The following is a 26,602-nucleotide window of genomic DNA, read 5'->3' on the forward strand; positions in this document are numbered from 1 at the left end:
AAATGAAAAACGACTGGTTAGGAAGACACAGGAAAAGGCAAGTGTTGTGTATTTGTTTGGTTGGGTTTGTGTTTGGGGTCACAGTGCTTGTGGAAATGAGGATAAACAATGTGTTTCCTCAGGTAGTCTACATTATCCTTCCTGATTCATATGACAACAGATTTTCATGATCTATAAACTATACAAAGAACTAAAACCCATTTCACAAAATCTCCCTATCATCACCATGTTCAGGAATCACAGGACAAAGAGATCTCCCAAGTTTTATAATTGCTAGATAGCTACCAACTTTACTAAGGTAGAGATATTTTATTAGGTAATTCCCACTGCCCATCATCATAAGCCACATCTATTTAACCGTGTATAATTTTGAAATGTCCTCAAGATATTTGAAAAACTTTTACTTTAGGTTTACTTATCCAAAGCATAAACACCTTACAATTAAAAACATGTCTTCTGCTGGGTGTGGTGGCTCATGCCTGTAATCCTAGCACTTTGGGAGGCCTTGGTCGGAGGATCCTTTGAGCTCAGGAGTTTGAGACCAGCCTAGGCAACATAGGAAGACCTTGTCTCTACAAAAAAATGAAAAATATTAGCTGGGGATGATGGTGCACCTGTAGTCTCAGCTACTTGGGTGGTTGAGACAGGAGGATTGCTTGAGCCCAGGAGGTTGAGGGTACAGTGAGCTATGATTGTGCCACTGTACTCTAGCCTGGGAGACAGAGTGACATTCTGTCTCGAAGAAAAATAAAAATATGTCTTTTACTGGTAGCTATGAGTGGAGTATGGGTAGGGATGTCATCATTTTTTTAACCCAGGAGAACCCCTGTTGGCTCTAGTGGCAGCTGAGTATTGCTTGAGATTTGGCAATTTCAGAACTGGGAGAGCTGGAGAGACTCAAATCCAAGACTGGGAAGACAGTGAAGCTTTTGCAGGTACCTTCTATCATTTTAAAATAGAGAGACCTGTGAGATCCCAATCCTGTCTGTTTTACTTCCATTGGAACTGAGGCTAGAGAGGTCATTACTGACTCTGGAATCAGCCACAGAGGGCCGTGATGTGTATTTGAGAGCAGGGTTGGGGGCAGCACAGGGATGGGCCTTCAGTCAGGACAACCACAGCCCTTCCCCTTCCCACCGCAAAGTCCTCTTAAGTTGCTGTTGACCTGTGATCATGACTTGGAGGCTGCTGACTGTTGTAGCCTATAAAGCAGGTTAGCAAAGGGAGGAGAACTTCATACAGGTCCTCAGTAACAGAATTACCACTAGCAACAGGGAGGAGACAAGAAAGAGGTGCCTGTTGCAGCAGCAGCAACTGCCAGACTGATAAATAGCATGAAGGAATGAATGCTGGAGCTGGTTCTGTCAAGAAACCCTCTGAGCAAGCAGACATCATCACGCCCAGCCTAAACAGTCCCTATCTTTACTTACATGACAGATGAAGTGAAAGATCAAGAGGGAGGCAAAACAGTTGCAGAATGAGAACACAGATCACTAGCAAAGGGAAGCTACAACTTCTGTGTGTTGCAAGAACTGCATCTCTCAGGTAGACAGAATTGAGCCTGGCCAGCCCACCTCACCTGGATGGTGTGAAGCCAAAACAAGCTTCATCTGATAATCTAGAAGTGGGGCTTTCTTTAAAAAAGGAAGAGAAGGCAGGACTCTGTGTTGTAATTCAAGAAAGGTGCTCAGAGCTAAGTGGGTGCCAGGAATACATAATCTTAAAGAGAAAGGAGGAGTCCAGAGGCAACACATCTATAGCAGGAGGTCTAAAGCACACAGCCTTTTCTCCTAGCTTTCAACCAGAGGCTTGGTTGGTGTTTGTGCCGAAAAAAAATAAAAACAAAATAAGTATTTTTTAAATTAAAGAGTATATTCTTTTGTATGATAAAAACTTATCTCTACAAAAAGTTTGGAAAATTCTGAAAAGCAGAAAAACTAGAAAAGAAAATCCAGAGTTCTGACACCCAAAGACAGTCATTAACTAGCTAGATTTCTTTCCAGTATGTTTACTTAGTATTAATAGGAGATATTTTGTTGTTGTTAAACTTTAAACATAGTTTTGATCCTCCTGAATAACCAATTTAATCTTTCTTAGTTCTCTTAACTTCATAACCTGTTTTCCCTTTTTATTGTATATTCATGGTGAATATTTCTTCCTCCAATGACTGTTTAATCTTCCATTGGGTACATTAAACAATAATTAATGTAATCATTCCCTACTTTTTTTCCTGTGGTAAATAGTGCCACCATAAGCACTTTCTTCCACACAGCATTTTTCCACATAGATTCTGTTAACACAGATGTTCAGATGACACAGGACATGCATATTTTAAGGCTATAAATGCATGTTATTCAACTGTTTCCTCAAATTTTGTAGCAAAATATATTTCTAACTATAATTTATGAGAATGTAAGTTTCATTACCCTTTTATCTGTAATCTAACATTTCTAATGGTTGTTTTAGGTTTACATTTTTATGTTTTTACATTTACATTTTTATGTTTGAGAGTTTTTCCATTTATTTTATCCTATAAACTTTTATGTTCTGTCCTGATTAACCTATGTGACACTCATTCTTATTGATTTGTGTCAGTTCTTTAAATATTAAAATTATTTATAGTTGTGTTGTATATTGATGTTTACATTATATTCACATTTGAGTTACACTTTTAAAAAATGAGACATTAAATTTTGCTATGGTACATTCAAATCTGTTTATCCTTTTTGTGGCTTCATTGATTAATCTTAAAATCAGGCAGTCCTCTTCTTTTTATAAAATAAATATAGTTAATGTTTTAGAAAACTATGTATCATGTTAGCATGTAAGAGGTTTTTGTTATTTTAAATGAATCACCAAATTAATATTTTAACAATTTCTCAGTTTAAATTTAAAATATAGCTAATATTGATAGATTTAAAATAGACATAGACAAAAACTCTTTGGGATCTTCAATAATTCTGAAGAGTGTGATGGGATCATGAAACCAAAAAGTTTGAGAACTTCTACTTAAGAAGTTTAAAAAAAACCCACTTTTAGTCAGTCATCCCAAGCCACATATTAATTTCTTCCCTTTACATTGATTTATTAAAAGAGTCACTTATCCTACATTAAATTATTATGTATAAGGAAGCTAATTCTTTGTTATCTTTCCAGTTATTTCTATTGATCTGAACATCTGGTCTGACACCGGGATCATAACATTTTAATTCTTTTGGCTTTATAACAGGTTTTAAAGGATAATTAATATTTCTCAATTACTCATCTTTTCCAATACTCTTTTTTGTTACTCTTTTCTGGATATTCTTGAAGATAAACTTTTCTACTAAACATATAAAACCTTGAAAAGAGAACACAGGTAGAAGTTTCAGAGTTTTAGAAAGGTAGCATAATAAAGAGAAAGAAAGAATGCAGTAAATCCAAGAAAGTAGAGAGTGTTCGTCCATTTCAATTCATTCCATTTCCAGGAAAGGGCACAGAGGCAAAAGCAAACAAAGAGAGCCTGTTCGAACTACCTTAGGGAAGGGTGGTGGGAGAATACTTCTAGTATGCATAAAAAGGAACATTGACCAGTTGCCCAACAGAGGAGAAAATATGAGCCTCTGTCATTACTCAACATAGATAAGCCCATGTGAAATGTGTTTTAAAATACAAATTTCTGGGAACATATCGTTAAACTTCAGTTCAGCAAAAACATTCCACCTGTTTTTGAAAACATATGAATCTTGAAAGAACCAAATTGTATGAATTTATACTAAGGAAATAATTAGTAATGTATACAAGGATTTAGCTAAAAGGATGTTCATCTTCACACTGTTTATAGAAGTGAAAAATTGGAAGCCACATACATATGCAAGAACAGGGACTAGTTTAAAAATGTATACTATATCCATATATTAGATGACTTTGCTACCAATTCAAAATTGTGTAGATGTGTTTTATTAAAACAGAAAACTTTTCAGCTGAGCGTGGTCGTTTATGCCTGTAATCCCAGCACTTTGGGAGGCCAAGGCGGGCAGATCACCTGAGGTCAGGAGTTCCAGACCAGTCTGGCCAACATGGTGAAATCCTGGCTTTACTAAAAATACAAAAATCAACTGGGCATGATGGCACACTCCTGTAATCTCAGCTACTTGGGAGGCTGAGGCAGGAGAATTGCTTGAACCTGGGAGGTGGTGGTTGCAGTGAGCCAAGATCATGTCACTGCACTCCAGCATGGGCAACAGAGATGCAAATAATTACCACATTAACATAACCACAAAGTAAAACAATCTAAATTCTGAAGAGTCAAAAACTACTAAATATTTATGCTTTCAAGAAAATGGACTATTATGTGACCACTGAAATAAATGTGAAAACTCTCTAGATGCATAAAAAGTGAAGAATTAGTGTTAAAAAAATTTTAATGACAGATTTACACTATGCTGAAACTTTGGTTTCTATATTAATGTCATACAAAGAGAATATTAGATAGTTGCGGTAGTACATTTAAGAGGTTGTGCAGATGGGGTATTGTGCATGCAAGAGTATACATCTGTGTGCATGTGTTTGAGCATGGGTATCTCTTCTGGCAAAGTTGTCAAAATAAGTAAAATTACTTTTGAAAGAATATGGGAGGTTAATAGCCCCAACAAAAGTTACAACTCCCTTTATAACATAATCCTGACTAATACATGAGGTTAAAAGACCGTGGAAGAGCTACTTGTAGGTTGTAGTGAGCTGAGATTGTGTCACTGCACTCCAGCCTTGGTGACAGAGACCCTGTCTCAAAAAAATTAAAATAAAATAAAAATAAATAAAAGTATGAACTGTTGAAATCCCACAAAAACTAAATACTCTAATTTACATAAGGTCAGTTAAATAAATCATGTCTCCTTTGGAAGCAAAAGTTTCAACTTTTACAAAATTTGGATTTTTATCTGTGTTCTATTACAAAATTTCCTTGGTTTGAATCCAAGCACTCTCAAGCTGCATATAAAAAAGCAAACAATAGTAGAGGACTGATTAAATGTGATCCATTTGGATAATGCAGGCCCTAAGTCAAATCATTTCAAAAAAAATAATTTGTTATGCCATATTGATTCACAAATATTTAACTAATAAGTCTGCCATGTGCACATACCCTTTCATGGTGCACTTGAGAATTTCCTCCTACTTTGTCCATAGAAAATCCTCTCACCTTCACTCAGCTGCTGCCTCCTAATATAAATTGAGATTATCCAATATATTCCTGTTATCTGTTCCCATATCTGTAATCTGTGGCCTAAAATTGTCTTCCAGCTATGCAAAATAACTTTCTTCACATCCTGAATTCCTTAGCTCATTGGTGCTAAGAAATTCATGTTGGTTGAATCAGTAGACAAGAGACCATTCAATTCACCTGCCTGATTTAAATAGGATTATATTGATTCTGATTCAGAATCAGATGGCCAGAATGATTATTAAAGGGTTATTATGTTTTACTTAAAGTACTTGCCATAAGATAAATATCTATATTAATGAAACATTGCTACACAACTCTTATTAATAACCTGTTCTAGGGTCATTTTGTGCTCAATGGAATTCAAGAAATTACATAATATATGCTATCAAAATTCTAATGACATTTTTACAGAAATAGAAAAAACATATGAAACTACAAAAGACCCTTGAACAAAGAAAAAACCTGAATCATCACACTATTTGACTTCAAAATATATTATAAAGCTACAGTAATCAAAACAGCATGGTACTGGCATAAAACCAGGCACATAGATCAATAGAACAGAATAGACAGCCCCAGAATAAATACACACATTTACAGTCAATTGAATGTCAACAAAGGTTCCAAGAACATACAATAGAAAATGGACAGTTTCTTCAATAAATGATGTTGGGAAAACTGGACATCCACATTTATAAGAATGAAATTAGACCTGTATTTCACTCCATATACAAAAATCAACTGTAATAGATTAAAGACTTGAAAGTAAGACCTGAAACTGTAAACTACCAGAAGAAAACATATGGGAAAAGACCCCATGACAGTGATCTGGGCAACAATTTTTTGAGAATATGAATCCAAAAGCACAGGTAACCAAAGCAAAAATAGAAAAATGGGATTACATTAAACTAAAAAGCTTATGTATAGCCAAAGAAACAGTCAACAGAATGAAGAGACAACCTAATGGGGGAAAATTTTTGCAGGCCATACATCTGACAAGAGGTTAATATCCAAAATATACAAGAAACTTAAACAACTCACTAGTAAAAAACAAAAACAAAAAAAATGATTTTTAAAAATTGGCAAGGAATCTGAATAGACATTTCTCAAAAGAAGGCATACAAATGGCCAACAGGTATAAAAAAATGCTCAACATTACTAATCATCAAGAAAATATAAATTAAAAACACAAGGATCTATCACCTTGCTCCTGTAGAATGGCTATATCATAAAGATGAAAGATAATTGTGGAAGAGGATGTAGAGAAAAGGGAACACTTGCACACTATCGGTGGGAATGTAAATTAGTATAGCCATATGGTAAACAGTATGAAGGTTCCTCAAAAAATTAAAAATAGAACTACTATATGATCTAGCAATCCCACTACTGGGTACATATCTAAAGGAAATGAAATCAGTATGTTGAAGACATATCTGCACTCCCATGTTTATAAAATGTATATATACATAATGGAATACTATTTAACCTTTAAAAAGAAGGAAATGCTCTCATTTGTGACAACATGAATGAAACTAGAAAACATTTTGTTAAGTGAAACAAGCCAGGAAGAATGACAAACCACATATAAGTGTATTTTCACTTATATGTTGAATCTAAAAAAAGTGAGCTCAGAAATAGAGTAGAATGGTAGTTACCGGGGATTGAAGGGTAAAGAAGGGGTGGAGGAGGACCTGGAGAGATATTAGTCAAAGGATACAAAACTTCAGTTAGACAGGAGGAGTAAGTTCAAGAGGTCTATTGTATAACATGGTGACTATTCCTAGTAATGACATATTGTTTTCCTGAAAATTACCAAGAGAATAGATTTTTAGTCTTCTTACACAGAAAACTGATAAGCAAGTGAAGTGATGCATATTTTAATTAGTTTGATTTAGCCATTCCATAATGTATACATATTTCAAAACCACATGTTGTACAAGACAAATATATAAAATATTTATTTGTCAAGTAAAAATAAATCAAGATATGTCAACCTGAAAAATATATGTGGGCAAAATGTGTACTTTTTTTGTAGAAGGTTGATTCATTTAAAACCAAACCAAAGCTTACCAAAATTTCCACAGGCTTCACCACTTTTCTAGTAATGACACCAGGAGCTTTTAAACGAATGGTTTCCAAAACACACCATTTAATTAGAAGGAGATTCTCCAGGTCATCCTCAGACACTTTAATCTTATCTTTGCCTGTAAAAAAATTTTTAATGAGAAATAAATAGACTACAGAGGTCAGAAAGTGATTTCACGTAAGCTCATCAGCAGAGGTTAGATGTTGCCTCTGACAGCAAGTAAAGTGTTCCTATTACTATTACCTATTACAGGTTTAGTCATTAATTGCCTCTTTTTCTTTATCACTTTTCTCTTGACAAGGTAAAATGTATGACACAAAAAACTAAGCCAATGTTGATTACTGTAATGTGATGGATTGGTATCCAACTTAGGTTCCCACAGTCTTATAGCTATCAAATAGCTAAGACAGTCCTTGTCAGAAAGGTTTTACTCATCTTTTTCTTGTCTAAATTCTCATTCCACTTATGTAAAAAGCAATAAAAGACTGACATCAAAAGCACAAAGAAAAAGATACGAGAAGCCATCCGGCCTTTTTCTTCTGCCTTTACCCTTTTGAATTGCTTTTTTTTTTCCCCCTAAATCATTCATTTCAAAAAAACAACTGGAAAAGGGGCAATGGGGCACAAGTATCTGAGCTGGAAGAATGAAGATGCCCTCTAAACACAGGTGCATCAAACTTTCTTAACGTGATGTGCATACTTTATTTGATCTTTAGACTGAAAGCACCTGAAAAAGGAGGGGGTGGGGTGGACGAAGGGCATCAACCATCAACCTTTGTACCATCTAAAGTAATGGCAGGAACTTTCAGTCAAATTAGACAGTTTAGTTAACAATATTTCAAGTAAAATGTTTGCATTTTGAAAATTACTTGAAACAACTGCGCTTTCAATTTGTTTTTGACAGTATTTGCTTAAGAAAAGTCAACAACAATATTGTCAGTTTAATTAAGTCAACGCATTTCTCTTTTTCACATTTGCTTTCAGACCATCTTGGGAATGAGTGGGTAAGAGTAGAACTAGGGTCTCCAGCCATGTCTCTCTTTGACTCTGGATGAGGCGTGTTCAAAAGCAAGCCCATTTTGCAGGAAAAGGTTTATTGGGTGCTGCCTGGGAAACCTTTTCTGTCAGTATAGATAGAATTCCTAAGGAGTCAGAAGCAAACACCTTTGGTTAGTGGAGTCTAGGAACCTATGAACTCCATTCAATCTGACAGATTCTTAAGTACCACGTAGGGACCAGGAGCTGAGACAGGCTGTACCAGTATTACAATAACTAAGGCGCAGCTCTTGCTTGCAATACACTTAGTCTACTAGGAGGTAAGAGACAAGCACACAGTTGACTAGTACAACATGTAGGCAAAGAAACTATTTTCTAAGATGTAAAATATTCTAAGGTAGTTAAAAGCAGATAGGGTTCACAGCTAAGGTAGTTTAAAGCAGATAGGGTTCACATCCAACTAGATGAAAAAGAAAATATTTTATGAATATATTTCTCTAAAACTACAAATATGATTAGTTTCTTGCATAGAGTCAACCCCAGTATATATATATTAAATTAGCAAATGGTCCAACTTCAACATAGGGAGGTGAATGGGTGGATATTTTAGGCAAAGAGGAAGAACAAAAGTAAGACTGCAGACAACATGAGTACATTTAGAAAATGGCAATGGGTCCAGTTTGCCCAGAAGGTGAGACATATGTGATGGAACAGTGAGAGATCCACTAAGGCCATACTACAGACGATCCTAAATGCCATTCTGGAACATCCGGAGGCTAGAGAAATTGGAAACTTCCTGTCTTAGGCTGAGGGAGTGTTAACACCTCAACAATGAAACAGTGATATACAGCACTATTCTGTATTAAATTAAGACCTTCGGCTTATTTGCTCAGATCTGAGCAATCTAATATTAAAAGGAGATAAGCACTTTTATGGGATTTTTGTTGTAATCTCTGCAGGCATTGCCCAACAAAACTGTTGGTTTTCCTTTTCCGTAACAAAGATTGGAAAACAATAAGTATGCCTTCTGCATCTTCACAACCTAAATGCCACAGTTTTTCCAAATTGTGTTCTATGAAATATTTGCAAGATGTCAAACGTATGAAGGAGGAAAAAGGTTCATGGGCAACCAAATACGAAAAATGCTACATGTTATTGGTGATTCACTGGACACATTAGTGTATTACAGGCTTTGAGAAATCCTGCAATAAAACAGTTATTTACACTGTTATTCTCAAACTTTTTGTAACATGGAATCTGTCTTCTACCAATATCCATACAAGCAAATCATTAGCTACATAAAAGATAACTAGCTATATAAATTAGGATACAGATTATTTCCAAGGCAATCCTCCGAAAAAGCAAACCAACCCTATTTTTAATGTCTGAAGATTACTAGCACATGGCATAAACTTTCGTGCACATGGCATAATCTATGAGTAGTTATTAAGAACTAAAACATGATCACCAACTGAAAACTGTCTTGATACACCATGGAAAGACAGGGGTACCATACATTTTACTTAGTTTACATTTTCCCCAAACTATCCCAACATTTTCTAAACTAATTCGGAAAAATAATTTAGAAAAGCCATGGTCAGAATTCTTTATTTGAAAAGTGGCTGAGATTTTGCATATGTAACAGATATCATTGCTAAATCAAATAGACAAATGTTTGGCATTCACTGGAGAATAAAGTGCTAAGGAAATATAAGAAATTTAAGTTTTGGAGATCTTTACCATCAAAAAGACTATAAGATGAAAAATTAAAGAAAGAATAAGTGCTTTGTCTAGACAATGTTAAAATGAGAAATCCTGAGGTTCTAATTTTTGAATTAGTTTATGAATGACACACAAACTTAGAGCAGTGCCCGGTATGTACTAAGTGTTCAGTACAAGGTGGTGCTGATTTACTTTTTATTTATTATTACCGTTACTATTAATGCGAATTTAATAATGACTCTTTAGAAACCACACCTTCCTATCTACTTTTACTCCATAGCTAATAAAGTTATTCTTTTTCCTGAAACCTTTATTGGGAGAAAATTTAGAGATTGGCGTGTGGGGTTGCATATGCAACACGAATTGGGGGCCAGGTCTGAGGAATTCCTTCCATTATTTGTTCAGTAGATATCTGCAGAGACTGAGACCCTACAGGTAGTTTGCAAGTGCTGAGTATGAAGATGTAGGTCATGTCTCTGGCTCTGAATAGTCTGATAGAGAAGACAGAGAACTAAAAGTGGTTAATGCAATAAGCGCTATCACATTAAAGTGTGCAACTCGCTATAGGAGCACAGCGGTGACAGTGACCAGACGGGGGAGGGAGGTGTCAGAGAGGCTTTTCAGAAGAAAAAAATCTGAAGAAAAAATCAGATACACAAAAATAAAGAGCATGTTCAGATAACAGGAATTCAGTGTGAAATAGAGTCTGGTGTAGCAAGTGACTAGGTCAATCAACTGTAGATGCAGATCAGAACAAGCTGTCGCACTGGTTCTTGGCGGTTTGGTAATGGATCCACCCTCTCTTCCAAGGGTGTTCCACTGAGGTTCCAGTCTGCTCATACCAGATGAATCCAGAGATGACAGGAGGTATCTTTCCCGCTATCCAACTTCTGAATGTACCCCAAGACTGCCAGGTGTCAGTTCTGGGCCCTCTTCTCTTCTCTACATTATCCTCCTGGGGGACTCAAACAAACCCTTTTCTATAAAATACCATCAGTGGGCTAGTGACACCCACAATAACATTTTTTGCCTTCATCCCTTTTGTGAGCTCCAGATTATTGTTATCCAGCTGGCTTCTCATTGGCTTTGTTTGCAGGTCTAAAAGGCATCTCAAAGCAACACTGGCCTACACAGAACTCTTCACTTGCCCCACTGAAATAAAGCCTTTCTTCCCTTGGTCTTGCCATCGCAGAAAATGGTAACAATGTTTGCCCAGCTGCTCAAGTTCAAACCTAAAAATCATCCATGATAATTCTGTTTGATATTGTGATATAATAAATATATATTTGGTCTGTGGTTCCTAACACAGATCTCCTAAAACCTTTGCAATTTCTTGAATGATAGGGGAGAGAGGAGCATCTTTTGGTATTCATACATAATAAGCCCCTTTCTTTTCTTTTCTTTTCTTTTTTCTTTTCTTTTTTTTGACATGGAGACTCGCTCTGTTACCCAAGTTGGAGTGCAGTGGAGCGATCTTGGCTCACTACAACCTCTGACTCCCAGGTTCAAGCGATTCAGCCTCCTGAGTTGCTGGGATTACCAGCAAGTGCCACTACACCCAGCTATTTTTTTGTATTTTTAGTAGAGATGGGGTGTTGCCATGTTGGCCAGGCTGGTCTTGAAATCCTGACCTCTAGTGATCTGCCCACCTCAGCCTTCAAAAGTGTTGGTATTACAGGTGTGAGCCACCCTGCCCAGCAAATAAGCCCCTTTCGATTACACCTGACTATGCTAATGAAGTGACTCTTGGAAATTAGGGGCTAGTTGTCAAAGGAACCAACCATGAGATGAGAGGATTGGAACTGCCAGCCCCATTCCCCAGCCTCTGGGGAAGGGAGGTGGGCTGGGGATTCAGCTAGTCACCAATGGAGAATGAATTAATCAATCATGCCTTTGTACTGTAACTTCCATAAAATCCCTCAATAAAGGGGTTCAAAGAGCTTCTGGGTTGGTGAACACATGCATGTGCCGGAGGGTAACACACCCAACTTCAGAGAAAGAAGCTCCTATGCTTGGGACTCTTCCAAACCTTGCCCTATGTGCTTCCTCATCTGGCTATTCATGTGTATAGTTTCTAATATCCTTTGTAATGAACCAGAAATAGTAAGCATAGTGTTTCCCTGAGTTCTGTGAGCCCTTACAACAAATTATCGAATCTAGAGAGGTGGTTGTGGAAAACTCCCGATTTGTAGACAAGTTGGACAGAAGTGTGAATAACCTGGGGCTGTACTAATTTCAATGGGCATCTGAAGTTGGGGAGAGTCTTGCGGGACTGAGCCCCTAACCTGTGGGTCTGTGATAATGTCATGCAGTTAGTGTCAGAATTGAATTAAGTTCTAGGACACCCAGTTGATATCTGAAGAGAACTGGAGAATTGTTTGGTGTGGAAAACCCACACATTTGGTGTCAGAAGTGTTGTGTGTAGAGAAACAGTTTTCCTTTGTCCTTCCTTTCCCTTTAACTCCCTTAAACAATCAGCAAAATTTGTTTTTATTTGCAAACTAAATCCTACTTCCATCCACATCATTCCATCTCCATTGCTACCACTCTTGTCCAAGCCGTGAATATTTCTCACCTGGTCCAGGGTGACAGCCTTCATCATGCTTCCTACTCCCACCTGGCTCCTCTACAACCCCTTTGTAAATAAGACCAAGTCAGTACCGTCTCAGGACCCACGAATGGCTTCAATACCATTTAGAATTAAATCCAACATTCTCACTTTGGCAAATAAAGCCGTATCTATCCCTCTAGTCCCATCTCACACTGAATCCTAGAGGCTATGTGACCTTTGTAAATTATCCAACCTCTCTATGCCTCAGTTTGCTTACATATAAAATGGAAATACAGAAAGTACGTGCCCACAAGGTTGCTGTCAGGATTAAAAGTGTTAATACGTGTAAAGCGCTTACCACTATAATTGGCATGTGGCAAAATCTCAGGTTACCTATTATTATTATTATTATTATTATTATTATTATTATTTAGAGACAGGGTTTCACCATGTTGGCCAGGCTAGTCTCCAACTCCTGACCTCAGGTGATCCGCCCATCTCAGCCTCCCAAAGTGTTGGGATTACAGGCGTGAGCCACCATGCCCGTCCTCAGGTTACTTATTATTATTATTTCCTCTGCCTTTTCCAACTGTTTGAAAGGCTGGATCCCTTTCACCTTTTAGCTCTCAGCTAGAAATTCTCCTCTGCAGAAACCCTTTCCTGGCCACCCCAACTAACATCTCCCTAATCACTATTATTTCATTTTATTTCCCTTATAGTTCCTATTAATATATAAAATAACCCGGGATCCCCCAAATAGGATGTGATTACATGTGTTTCAGAATCTTGTTAGATCTGTTCTTCGATGTATATCCAGTATCTAACACAGTGTCCAGCATACAGTAGGTACTCTATATATTTTTATTGAATAAATGAATGGATGGATGGATGGATGGATGGATGAATGCATGTCTAAAATGGTGGAAGGTGAGGTTAATTAGGAAGCTTTTAATTTGTGTAACAGCAATGGGAGGTATGTAGAGAAGTCAAATTTGAAAGACGTTTCTGAGGGAGAATGTAAAAATCTTTAAGTAAAAAAGAGTTAGTAAAAACCTGATATATACTAGAGAAGTGGTTCTCAAATCTTAAGCATGCATCAGCATCACGTGGAAGGCTTGTGAAAACACAGATTGCAGGGATCCAAAAGTTTCTGATTCAATAGGTTGGATGTGGGGCCCAAGAGTTTGCATTTCTGGAAAATTTCCAGGTGATACTGATGCTCTTGGTCCAGGTACCACACTCTAAGAACCACAGTGCTGGACTGGGCGTGGTAGCTCATGCCTGTATTCCCAGCACTTTGGGAGGCCGAGGTGGGTGGGTCACCTGAAGTCAGGAGTTCAAGACCAGCCTGACCAACACAGAGAAACCCCGTCTCTACTAAAAATACAAAATCAGCTGGGTGTGGTGGTGCACGTCTCAAAAAAAAAAAAAAAAAAAAAAAAGAACCACAGTGCTGAATTAAAAGAGGTAGAAGACATCCTTGGATTTTATTATTAGATAGTCTAGGCTTAAAGCAGTTATTATTGCCAATTTTTAAATTATCTTTTCTATTTTATAAAATGTAGGTAAATACACTTAGTGGGTAAAAATTATGATTTGAATCAGAAATCCTGACTGGATATATTGACACTGAAAGCCACTAAATATAAAATGGGGGGGGGGAGCTTTATTTCTTCTTCTGAACAATAAAACTAAATAATGTGATGATCAATTATGATTGAATTTTTAACTGGCCAGGATTTCATAAATGGTTCAAAATTATATCATTTTTACACCTACAAAAGTCTGGAGCTTACATGCAGCCACATATATTGGACCCTATTCTCCTTCTCCCCTGTATGCAGCCATAGCATAGGGTATGAGTTGGCAAATTATGGCCAACAGACCAAATCCAGCTCACTGCTTGACTTTGTAAATGAAGTTTTATTGGAAATGTGAAAGAAAAATAAAATCTCAGGACCACAAATTCACTATGCCAAAGGGAAATATTAAGCTGGAACTGCCTTTCCTTTTGTTCCTAAGCAAATAGCTACAGATAGAAGGCCAGAGGTCTCCACAGGTAGCTACTCTATGTTTACTTATATAAATTGACCATTTTCTGTGGGCTAGATGAATATACAGTTGACTATTCCTCTATCACCTCTTTCACATGTAAAATGTGGATTCAGTGAACACTGATCAAAGACCCAAAAGAATGCAAGCATTTGCCCCTTTTATCTACCCTCCTTCCTTTTTTCTCCCCTTCCTCTTTCCCCCACTGCCTGTTCTTCCTCCTTTGAACATGGAAGTCCCCAAACTCTCTTTGGAAAAAGCAGGACTCACAAATGTCCCTGTGGTTTTGTATTCCTTTTTCCCGGGCACATCCTTAACCTTGGCAAAATAAACCTCTAAATTGATTGAGACCTGTCTCAGACACTTTTTGGTTTACTCACTCGTTTACACGTCTATGGCTGTTTTCACACTACAATAGCAGAGTGGTGAAAGAGACCTTATGTTCCATAAAGGCTATGTATTTACTCTCTGCCTTATATAGAAAAAGTTTGCCCCTGCCTAGGGGACATCAAGGGGACAAGCTACTGGTTTGCTCCTCATTGTACTTCCTATTGCTTAGAAGTCCAGATTTTATTCCAGCATTTGAATTTTACAATACTATAAATTCTATGTAGTCTTCGCTGTACATATCATTTATATAACCAAGTCAAGTATACAATGCCTAGCATAGTATCTGGATAACCCTGTAAAATATGCTTATTTTACAATATGCTTTCCCTAAGAGGTAGTCTATATTTTACAAGGAAAATTTCTTTCCCTGAGAGGTAGTCTATATTTTATAAGGAAAATGTCTTTGTTTAGAATACATTATAATCATCTTCGAATTATATTCACATACCCAGAGGGCACATGAGAGCAAATGTTAAGGAAATCAATTCCCTGATACTCAACTTCCATATTCACTCTTTTCTAAAACTGATCTGTTGAATAAAAGACTGTGGCCCAATTCTCTTTTCCCATCTCCCCAATACAATCACCTTTTCCTGACTTTACGATGGAATATCTTGCCTCTCAGCTATCCCGATTTTTACTCTAGTGCTTTTTCCTTGAGGTATAAACATCTCTTGGCTGCCAAACAAAAGGGCAATTAGATAACACATGGAACCTAAGGGAAAAGCCCTTGAGAGCAAAGTAAAACAGGCACAGGAAAGAAATACCAAAAGCAGACATGTCTTCTTTCACCTATTTGTCCACTAGTCCTTGCTTACAAACCATGTTTGTCCACCTGATGATCTACGAATCAGAATTCAAAAGTGAGATGAGTGTCACAGCAACACATATTAACATGTTTATTTGAATTGAAAGAATGAAATCAGACCTTTTCTGTTAGAAGATAAATTGGATTGGATGATTAGTTTGGTAATAAGAACTGGCTTTGAGAATTAGGTTATATGGCACCCATTTTTCATAACTGAGTGAACTATAATAAACCTGTAACTTTTGATATGTATTTTAAATAGACTAAGAACATGTAGAAAATATACCAGGAATGATATCCTTTGCAATTACTTAAACATAAGATAGCAACTATTAGACATCAATTTAAAAATCTATGAGGGGATACAAAATTCTTCTAGAATACAGGTATCCAATCTTTTGGCTTCCCTGCGCCACATTGGAGGAGAAAGAATTGCATTGGGCTACATATAAAATACTAACACTAACAATAGCTGATGAGCTTAAAAAAAAAAAAAAGGTCCATGCAAAATCTCATAATGTTTTAAGAAACTTTACAAGTTTGTGTTGGGTCAAACACAAACCTCAAAGCCATCCTGGGCCACATGTGGCCTGCGGACCTCAGGTTGGACAAGCTTCTTCTAGAATGTACTCTAGAAAAAGAAAGCAAGAAAACCACTGCCTAGCAGTATATATGAGAAGATGAAGTCCTATGTTAGAACCCCTGAATGTCCATGGTGAGACAAAGGGAGAGTGAGCAGCTTTGCACAGGAAGTGAAAGGCAACTGGGGCTGCCAGTGTGCAAGGTAAGGAAGACAAAGCTGGGGATTTCCAAGAAGAGAGAGGGCCCAGCTTCAATGATAGGTCACTGATAACCTAGTAGAGTGTCAAGGAAAATTCTTTGGCAGACAGGACTTTTGTTTCTGACTGCAATGTAATTTTTACTTTCCTTGTCCCATATTTTTAATATTTTAATAAAATCAGCTAACATTAACTTAACACTTTGGGAAATAAAGAGCTGGAGGATGTCCAGTGAGGCAATGCAATGCAGAAAACGTGGCAGACACGCAGAAGGGAAAGAGTTTAGAAATTGCAAAATCAGCAAATGCAGGAACTAGGAATCAAGAGAAGGCTAGAAAAAACACAAGCCTCTACCTCTTGCCTCCTCTCCCATTTCTCCCTCCAAAGATAATTAGAAACCTGAGATGGGGTCCAAACAATTTACCTTTATTTTAAAAACCAAGGTGGTTCCAGCAAGCTAGGGCCCTTCACAAATGGACATTATAAATAAATTAGCAGTAGCTTACAATTTAAATTCTAGATCTTACTTTTCAAAAAATTTGTTTTCTCTCAAAATCTATTTACAGCATCTACACTGGACAAATCAATCAAACAATTCCTCTACTTTTTTTCTATTTTATTTTACTGCAGCTATAGGATGCCGAAAAGAAGTATCTTTCTACTTGACCAAGGATAGGTGGCAACTACGGTCAGTTTGTGTTTGAAATCAGATCTGTGAAAATCCAAGAGACTCCACAGTGACCTACATATTGCATAATTCTGGTCTTGGAAAAGTTTGGACTCTAGTAATGGTGAAGTTCTTGACCTCCTTCAGAAAAACATTTTTGGATAAAGTACTCTTAGTAAGTTAAAAAGGGTAAAACGTTCTATATTAATAATATAGAAACAGAAGCTTGTTTTGAATTGAAAACATTTAAAATTATGACCTATAAATGTATTAGAGATGTAGCCTACATTTGGAAAATAAATATTTTGATAAAATATTTTTAGTTTCTCAAATGTCAGTGTCATGTGAGAAAAATAATGTAGCATTCTTGGACCATACAAAGAAAAAGAAAAGGAAATACACTAAGTTTTCGAATGATTCTTTAGTGTAAAAGACCTTTTTTACTATGACTCTTAGAAATAGCTCCGTACCCATACTGTGCATACTTCAATGCACATCTGTGATTTGTTCTTCCAGCATTGTGACTCTAAAATTAGAAGGCTTCACTTGGAAGAATGCCAAGGTAATCATGAAAAGGGCTACAGTCTAATGGAGACAGGGACCAGTACAGATGACAGACCAATAAAGAAACTGAGTGATTTGGGCTAAAATTCAGAAACCATCTGTTTAACTCTTGGCATAAACATGATGAAGGCAAACCTTAGGATGTTGAAAATCAAGTAAAAGAAATGATGATTCTTGCGTTCAGAAATAGCAAAAAAAGTTTATAAAACATTATACATAGTTTTAGGATTGCATACTCATAATGATGTGTATTATAACACATTACATATGTTATATTTGTTAATAATTATAACAAATTGAAATTCTATTACTTTAGCCATTGATTCACTCAATGTAAATTTGCTCCATATCTGTTATGTGCTAGCCTAAGCATAGGTGCTATAAGAGATAGGGAGGAAATAAAACTAATTTATTGCCCATCTAATGTCACAAATATTTTGGATCACTTCATTTATTCCTCATAGATATCTGCCAGCTAACTGAGCCTCAGAGAGGTTAAAATGTTCAAGGAGACAAGCTTGAAAGTATCAGAGCAGCCTTCAAACCTATGTCTGTCTATACTGAAAGCCTTCAACCTTGCTACTACGCCACATTGCTTCCTCAAAGACAAGAAGGGAATGAGAAACACACGGCCACTGCCTTAAAGGATCCTGGAAACAAGAACACACACAAAAAATACCTGGATATAAATATCTCTAAGTTTCATATAAGAGAATTCAAGTGTCTCTTCTCACTTAGGGCTGAAATTTCAACTAAGCCTGGAAGGATGGGTTGGAGTCAGAAAGAATGCTAACTTAAATTCCAAAATTAATCACAAAAATTTCTTGGGCTTAAAAAAAAAAAAAGAACATGAGTCAAATAGAATCACTAAAGGATGTCCTTCTTTGAGAGATGGCTTCTCTAGCTCCTTAATATTTCAAGCCCCTTCCCCCTACACACACACACACACACACACACACATGCATACATGCAGACATAGTAAGTAAATAAATAAATATACATATAATTGTTTCTACAGCTTTGAAGTAATATTCATTAAAAATTTAACTAATAACTTTGGGGAAATAATCCATGTTTTGCCAGAAAAGAAGGGGAATGGTAGGCATTTACTAACTCATTCAGACCTTTGGAAACATAATTTCAAGGAGACTGAACCAGAAGGTGGGGTTGCAAAGTGGAGTTGAATACTGAGGAAACCCCTGTGCTTCTCCAAGAATGAAAATCAGAATGAAAAGATGAAAAAAATGCAAATAATAAAATCCTTCCAAGATTTAAAGAGTGCAACCCCAACACAGTTCACCACCTCTTTCATTACTTTTGAAAGCATGAATTCTCAGTGCTGTTTGCTCCTCTGTGTCATGACTAAGTTTTCCTTCTCAGAGGCTGCCTTTCCATATTCCTAGAACAGCTTGTTTAAAATATATAAAGTTGAAGTGTGTGCAAAAGATCATAGTGCACATGAAGGAGAATGAACTTGGAATAAATATACATGAGATAATAGATGAAAAACAAACAAACTGATTCAATAACCTTCAGCAATGACTTCTATCAACATTTGGTCAATACATCTACTCTTCAAATTTTACAATAGTAATATCTTCAAAAAGTAAAAACCAAATTATAAAAAATTAGTGTTTATACTGTCACTTCAGAAAATTATTCAATAGTTTTGGAAAATATATAGCATTTGTATGACTTCTATGCAAAAATAATGAAGCAATGACAACAATTCCTGTGAGAAAATAAGGGCAGAAAACTGTAACTGTTCAGATTTCTGGCTTATTTTCTCAACCAGAGACCTCCAGATAAGATTCTACAAAGTCAGTTTTTAGAGAACAGAGACAAAGCTAAAGATAAAGAATAAATAAAACTTTACAATAGTCAGTATTCTAGAGTGGGAAAAAAGAGACCCTTACATCCTTCCCTTCATTTCAGGAATTTTTAAAACTTCAATAAAAGTAATGTTCAGCAATTCCATTTTTTAAAATTATATATCTATTTTTTAATAAAATATATACTCACTCTTACGGAGGTGATAATATCTGAAGTAGATAATACCATTCACAATAGGTTTTATTTTATTTATTTATTTTTTTTTTTGAGACGGAGTCTCACTCTTGTTGCCCAGGCTAGAGTGCAGTGGCACAATCTCGGCTGATTGCAACCTCCGCCTCCTGGATTCAAGTAATTCTACTGCCTCAGCCTCCCGAGTAGCTGGGACTACAGGCACTTGCCACAAACCCGGCTAATTTATGTATTTTTAGTAGAGACGGGGTTTCACTATATTGGCCAGGCTGGTCTCGAACTCCTGACCTCAGGTGATCCACCCACCTCGGCCTCCCAAAGTGCTGGGATTATAGGCGTGAGCCATCGTGCCTGGCCTACAACAGGCTTTATAACAGTTATTTATAGATAGCGAGAATGGGCTGGTTACAGATTTGTGGGAATTTTTTTGTGAGACGAGTATTTGTTGACTTGTCTCTAAATGGAGAAAACAATAAACACTTTTGTACAATTATTCTTTTAATTTTGAAAGGAAATAGTGTGAAACTGATCTTTGATTACCGAATAGAAAAATCAATTTTAGGGCCAGGCACCGTGGGCTCACGCCTGTAATCCCAGCACTTCGGGAGGCCGAGGTGGGCGGATTACGAGGTCAGAAGATCGAGACCATCCTGGCTAACACTGTGAAACCCCATCTGTGCTAAATATACAAAAAAAATTAGCCGGGCGTGGTGGCGGGTGCCTGTAGTTCCAGCTACTCGGGAGGCTGAGGCAAGAGAATGGCGTGAACCCGGGAGGCGGAGCTTGCAGTGAGCTGAGTCCGCGCCACTGAGTCCGCGCCACTGCACTCCAGCCTGGGCGACAGCGAGACTCCGTCTCAAAAAAAAAAAAAAAGAAAAAAAAGAAATTTATTGGGTACCTAAAATCAGTAGACAGTAAATGTGATTTTCCTAACATCAAAAAAATTGATTTATCTTTTTTGAAAAGAGTAGAATGGGTCCCTGGAGATTAGTTATGTCTTGTTGCCTCAGTCAGAGAGCTCACAGAAACCTCTTGAAAATGAAGAAAGGAAAAACAGAAGGAGGTCCACACAGGGAAGCTCCAGAGCTGAGGACACATATGTAAAATATAAGCTATTCCAGCCTTCTTTAACACACAAGGCTTGTGCTATCATTCCAAGCAACTTGTAAGCTTACTGTGCTGAGAGACCCTTCAAAAATTCAATATAAAAATCAATACTCTATATTACCTCCCAAATATTGCTTTAACAAAGAAAAATGATTTACTATTTGGGTTTGTTGTTTCTTAAAAAACTTTTATCTCTTTTGTAATTGCACACGTTTATTATTATACATGTTGTGTAAGATAAAATATCTATGGGAAAGATAATAAGTCAAATTATAGAAAATTCAAGGAAGAGGGGATGACAGCAGATGAAAGATCATGATGGTAGCTGTGAAGTTAAATGTCTTTTCACTCACCGCTATCCCCGCAAATTCTTTATAGGTTCTCTCCATTGAGTGCAGGTTTCTAGAATATTAATTCTTTCCAAATGTAGATCGTTTGGGAAATTTTGTCTTGACAATGTGAAACAATTTTTTAAAAAAACTATTTACCCACAGTTTTAGTTTTGAAAGAGAAGATTATAAAGTTGATTTTTATTGGTAAAAGATACACAAGGGTTATGTGGATCAATTGTTTTTCCTGTGCCAATTGTGTACTCTTTTGTTATAGCAGTTTTATAATAAGCTTTAATAACTTATTAAAATCTGGCCTTAATTAGGGTGAATCTGGCCTTACTAATTTACATTTCACGTATACAAAGAGATGGGGTCTCACTTTGTTGCCCAGGCTGGAGTGCAGTGGCACTATCATAAATCACTGCAGCCTCGAACTCTTGGGTTCAAGTGATCCTCCCACCTCAGCATCCCAAGTAGCTGGGACTACAGATGCATGCCACCACATCCGACTAAATTTTATTTTTTAATTTTCATAGAGACAATCTCACTATGTTGCCCAGGCTGGTCTCAAACTCCTGGTCTCAAGCCATCCTCCCATCTCAGTCTCCCAAAGTGCCGGGATTACAGGTGTGAGCCACGGCACCTGGTCACATTTCTAATAATTTTTATTTATAATCACAGTTATTTTTCTATATAGTTTTAAATCATTTAGCTAACTACACTCCCCCAAAAATGGAATTCTCATTATATGTACAGTAATCTGAAAAGTGTATTTTCATATTAAATCTTCCCATCCAGGAAGGTGATATGCCTTTTTCTTTATTTAGATTGTTTTAAAACATACATATTTTAAAAATCTTGTAGTTTCCTCCATATAGGTCCTGCCCCAGTCTGATTTCTTTATGCAAGAGAAATACCAGTTAAATGAATAGGAAGGAGAGATGTAACATGAGAAGGAAGGCTTAAAAAGCAGCTTAAAGTATCTGTGGTGAATACAGACTGGGGAAAGCAAATAATAAGCCTAGAGATTGTCCATGGACTCTGGGAATATGAGCACTGGGGCCTCAGGGATTGTAGCAGTAGCCTGGCAAACCACACATGTTTCTACTCTCCTCCTCCAGCCACCAGCTTCTTCCAAGCATCTCAGTCATTTCTGGCCTTCAGCTCTAGTTCTGACTTTTACAAGGATGGATATGGCCTTTTGGCATGTGAAGGATTTAGGATAAGATTTTATTATCAAAGACATATTCCTATTGAAAAATTACAAGTAATAACCTTTTGGAAGTAGATCCTGCTCAGCTGTTTCAGTTTGACATTCATAACAATAGGCAAAGCCTGGAAAAGGCAGTGATAACAATGGAGTGCGAAAGATATGAAGGACTGACTGCAACGTTTCTGAGAACAGGTTATTACATCCAATGGAAGATAAGGAGAATTGACAGGCTGACCCTCCCAACTCTTTCTTCCATCAGTACGTGCACATATTAAATATCCCAAATCCCATTCTATCATGTCAAAAGAAGTTCAATGCCACTATACCAAGTCAACCATATAAGATTCTACTCTGAAAAATAATATTTGGTGTTATTTTAAGAAGTGCTTCTCTCATATTTTAAAAAAGAGATTATCAATTTCTCTAACTACTGGAGGACAAAAATGGAGCATGCCTCATAATCATGATTTTTTTTCAAGGAATAAAGGATATAGTCCAATACATGATAAATAAAAGGGAGAGAATATTGCCTAAAGAAGATAACAGTGGGTAGATAATAATATGTGAAATAAATTTTGATCTAGAAATACCCTTATGTATAAAGCCAGTGTACTGAGTCTGAGTCCAAATTTTTGGTTTATGTTCTCTGGAGAGATGTCAGCCTGACTTTAATAGTTTTTACCTTAGTATTTCCTAAAGAATAAAAAAAAGATTATCCAAATGTTTGAAAAATTCACCAACAGAATGCTCTGAAGAAAGAATTGTGTCTAAATGAAAAAATGTAGAGAACAAATAAAGCAGATCAACAGTGCTGCCCCAGAATAAGATAGTGAAAGATTTAAAATGAGAGGCACCAGAGTAGAACCTATCTCCAAGCTTATAAATATGAACAGGGATATCAAATAATCTACAGCTATCAGAGGCATCTCTTTCAGCCACTGAAGCTAAGCAATGAAAAAGGAGAGAGTGACTTCACACAAAATCTCTTGAGCTAGGGTATCACAAGACCCACTTTGGGTATTAAAGGTAGAAAACAGTGGAAGAAATAAAGCTTCCTGAGAAATCTCTCCTGGGCCAGGTATTAGACATGCAAGTCTCACCCTAGTCATTATGGCTAGGTTAGTAGATAGGAAAATCACAAGTTATGAGTTCCAAAATGACATCATCCTGATCTTCAAGGCCAAGGGAATAAGAAGATAGCCAAACTGTATATTTGGGGTAGAAAGAATAGTTTCAAATGAACTTTCTTGCATTTATAAATACTTTTTTAAGTAATCTATATGTGGTCTTCAAGGTTGATAAATGAGAAGTAGTTTGTAAGAAGCTCCTCCATAATCTACAATTTCCTGGGTCCATTCTTGGATTTTAAAAGCTAGGCTAGCAAAGGTAAATGAGGCTATGTGAGAAATTTCCTGCATGATAAGCTATAGCCTCCCGAATCTCTGTGTTAGGTTCATAATGTCAGGCTACTGGTGGGAATGGAGATAATTTTTTAAAATAAAATAACTTCCTTCTGTTCACAATTCCACTGGAGCGTCCTTGGCTCTGCTCCTTGATCTCTTTCTTCATTATTTTGGGCAATGCATCGCACAAGGGGCCAAGAATCTGTCACAGACACAACTTTGGCCATCAGCCATTGGGCCCTGGCAGGCTGCAGTTGGGTAGTGAGCATGAGCTTAAGTTCACTGAAGGGACTCAGGTCTACAATATGCCATGATGGAGTCCTCCAAGAAGGTTGTTATTGGTTGGCAAGATGGTGCTGAGACACACCCAAGTGAAGGGAAGCTGCATACAAGTTATAATATGGGTAAACAATGACAATATATAAGATTTCAAGAATAAATACAGATGCTTAAATGCAATAAAGTAAAACTAATCAACTAATTAAAATAAAGCAGACAATATGGAGTTTACCTAGAATATCACTTTTCACTTTACTAGTGTTTATACTTGTTTGTATTTATGAGAAGAGTCAGACGCTTTCCTCACCAGTGTATAACGTGTAGCTACCTAAGTCAATGTCACCAGGTAACAGACGCTGGCCATCCCACAGTGTTGGTATATCCCTAGTCAGGATTGCTGCTAAATCAAAACACAGTGGTACCAAAAACCACTGTTGATTGGCTCTGAGCAAGGTTTCTCTTTCATCCACAATCACACAATTAGTGAGTGACAAGATTGAAATTCATGAATCCAACTGCTAACTCTCTAATCCAATGAAAATTCTGTATGTGCCTTTTATGATGCATAAATCATGACTTTTATGTAAAATAGGAATCATTTCTATGCAGGTGCATTTCTATTAATTAATCTGGTTCCTTGCAAATTAACAGAAAATGTTTATTAATTTATTGTTTAAATAAAGGCAAAGTAAAACTGATCAGCAAAAAAATAAAATAAAATGGGTGCATGTGTATGCTATCCTATGTTAAAAAGCATAGGTGGAAAAGTCAAATGCAAAAGTGAAAAAAATTCCAGCACATTTTTATTTGTTTGTTTTTTTTTTTAGGAAAGAATGAGCCTCTATTGATGGGCAGATTCTCACAGTGGGAGCCCTGAATTAGAAATGAAAATTACTTTATAACACAGCCTACACAGGAGCTAAACATTAATGTCTTTGATTGCTTTAGGTCAGTTACCCATAAGTGTGAGTACTTACGCTGTCAATTAATCTTTTACAATCTGGTATTACTTTAGTAGTTATTTTGAAAAAAACAAAACACAAAGAAGCAAAAAAAAAAAAACCCACCACATCTAAATATGTACTCTAAATATTTAAATAAAATTATATTTTAATTAAAATAGAAAGGTAAACCATAATGGTAGGCTGATGAAATCCTCCTTAAACAAATTAAAATGTAAATATTTAAATAAATAAAATGGAATCTGTGATACTAAATAGCTTAATGTCAAAGTAAAAAGATAGATAACTTTATTCTTCAGCTCTGTGGATACAATAATATTCACCATATTGAGAATACATAAAACTCTACAGGAGGAAGAAATGTCTCAGTGGTGATGGAAGCCATTACATCTTCTCCTCTTTATACATCCTCTCTAAATAAGGTAAATAAACTAATGGCAAACACCACCATTACTTTTGCACCAGCCAAATAACTTGATTTACCATATTTAGAGAGGACATACAAAGAGGAGAGGTGTCATGGAAGTATATCCCTAGTCCTTCCGAGTTTCCATCACACAAGAACCGGCTGGATTCATGGCTTTCACAGTTCTCTTTTCACCTGACTTTCTGCTTCCTACAGACATTTCCAATGTAAAAAGTCCACTGTACATTGATCACAGCATAAAATCTGGATAGATGTGTCTTTTCTTCTTCATCTTACCCCTTATACCACCACAGGAGAGTATGCTCATTTTCTCCTTTGGCTCCATTCACTTTTCCTGATAGCTGACTTTGTCACTTCTACTTTTTTCTCCATATTGGACATTCTGATCATTACACTTTCTATATTTTATCAGCAAGATCTGTTAGAGGCAAGCAGCAGAAACTAAACCTAGCTGATTTAGTAAAATAATAATAATTTATTAAAAGTTTGTTAAGTAGTTTATGTAACTTTTAAGAGGGCTGGACAACCAGGCTTGAAGGATGCATAGCCAGGAATCTTGCTCCAAATCAGGCCACAGAACTGGTCTGGCAAGCATGACACTGCCACTGATGTCAAGTGCATTGTGGCCACTGGCATAGGATACTGAATGACGCTGTGTCCCCAGAAACTTCATCCTGCAATACCTGCAGTTGCTTCCAGGGAAAATTTTTTAGTCTCCATTTCTTTATTTCAGTAACTCTTGATTCAAAGTCTTGGGTTGGTAGATCTGAATGGCAAAGTCTTATTTTCATGGTAATATCCTAGTTTCAAGGAAGGCAAGGAAAACAAAAATCTAGCATTTTTCTGCCCACTATGGTAGGCAAGTTTCTGTTGAAACATAGGGTTCAGATTTTGCGTGGCCAAAAATGGATACGTATCAATATGTGTGTTTGTAAATAATATATATGAGTATAAAAAATATATTATATCATTATGAACATATATTTTTATAAATATAAATACATTTTATAACTATAACTATATACCTTTTTATAAA

At 36.6% G+C, this 26,602-nt stretch overlaps 1 protein-coding gene across 11 annotated transcripts in view, besides 1 other annotated feature; it reads right to left on the minus strand.

Moving 5' to 3' along the window:
* The window catches only part of CYP39A1 (cytochrome P450 family 39 subfamily A member 1), a 103,239-nt gene that overhangs the window by 39,134 nt on the left and 37,503 nt on the right, over nucleotides 1–26,602 (minus strand). For all 11 annotated transcript variants that reach the window (NM_001278739.2, NM_001278738.2, XM_017010924.2 and 8 more), the window contains one exon: nucleotides 7,274–7,407. In NM_001278739.2, the coding sequence (NP_001265668.1) occupies nucleotides 7,274–7,407 (134 nt within the window). The remainder of the gene's footprint in view (nucleotides 1–7,273; nucleotides 7,408–26,602) is intronic.
* Nucleotides 16,427–16,476: an enhancer, noted in NCBI's record as "active region_24652". NCBI's record gives its function as "activates an Ori minimal core promoter by ATAC-STARR-seq in GM12878 lymphoblastoid cells {active_cell/tissue: GM12878}" and the evidence as "EXISTENCE:reporter gene assay evidence [ECO:0000049][PMID:35858748]".

This window comes from Homo sapiens, chromosome 6 (genome assembly GCF_000001405.40).
Source record: "Homo sapiens chromosome 6, GRCh38.p14 Primary Assembly".
Classification (NCBI taxonomy): Eukaryota; Metazoa; Chordata; class Mammalia; order Primates; family Hominidae; genus Homo; species Homo sapiens.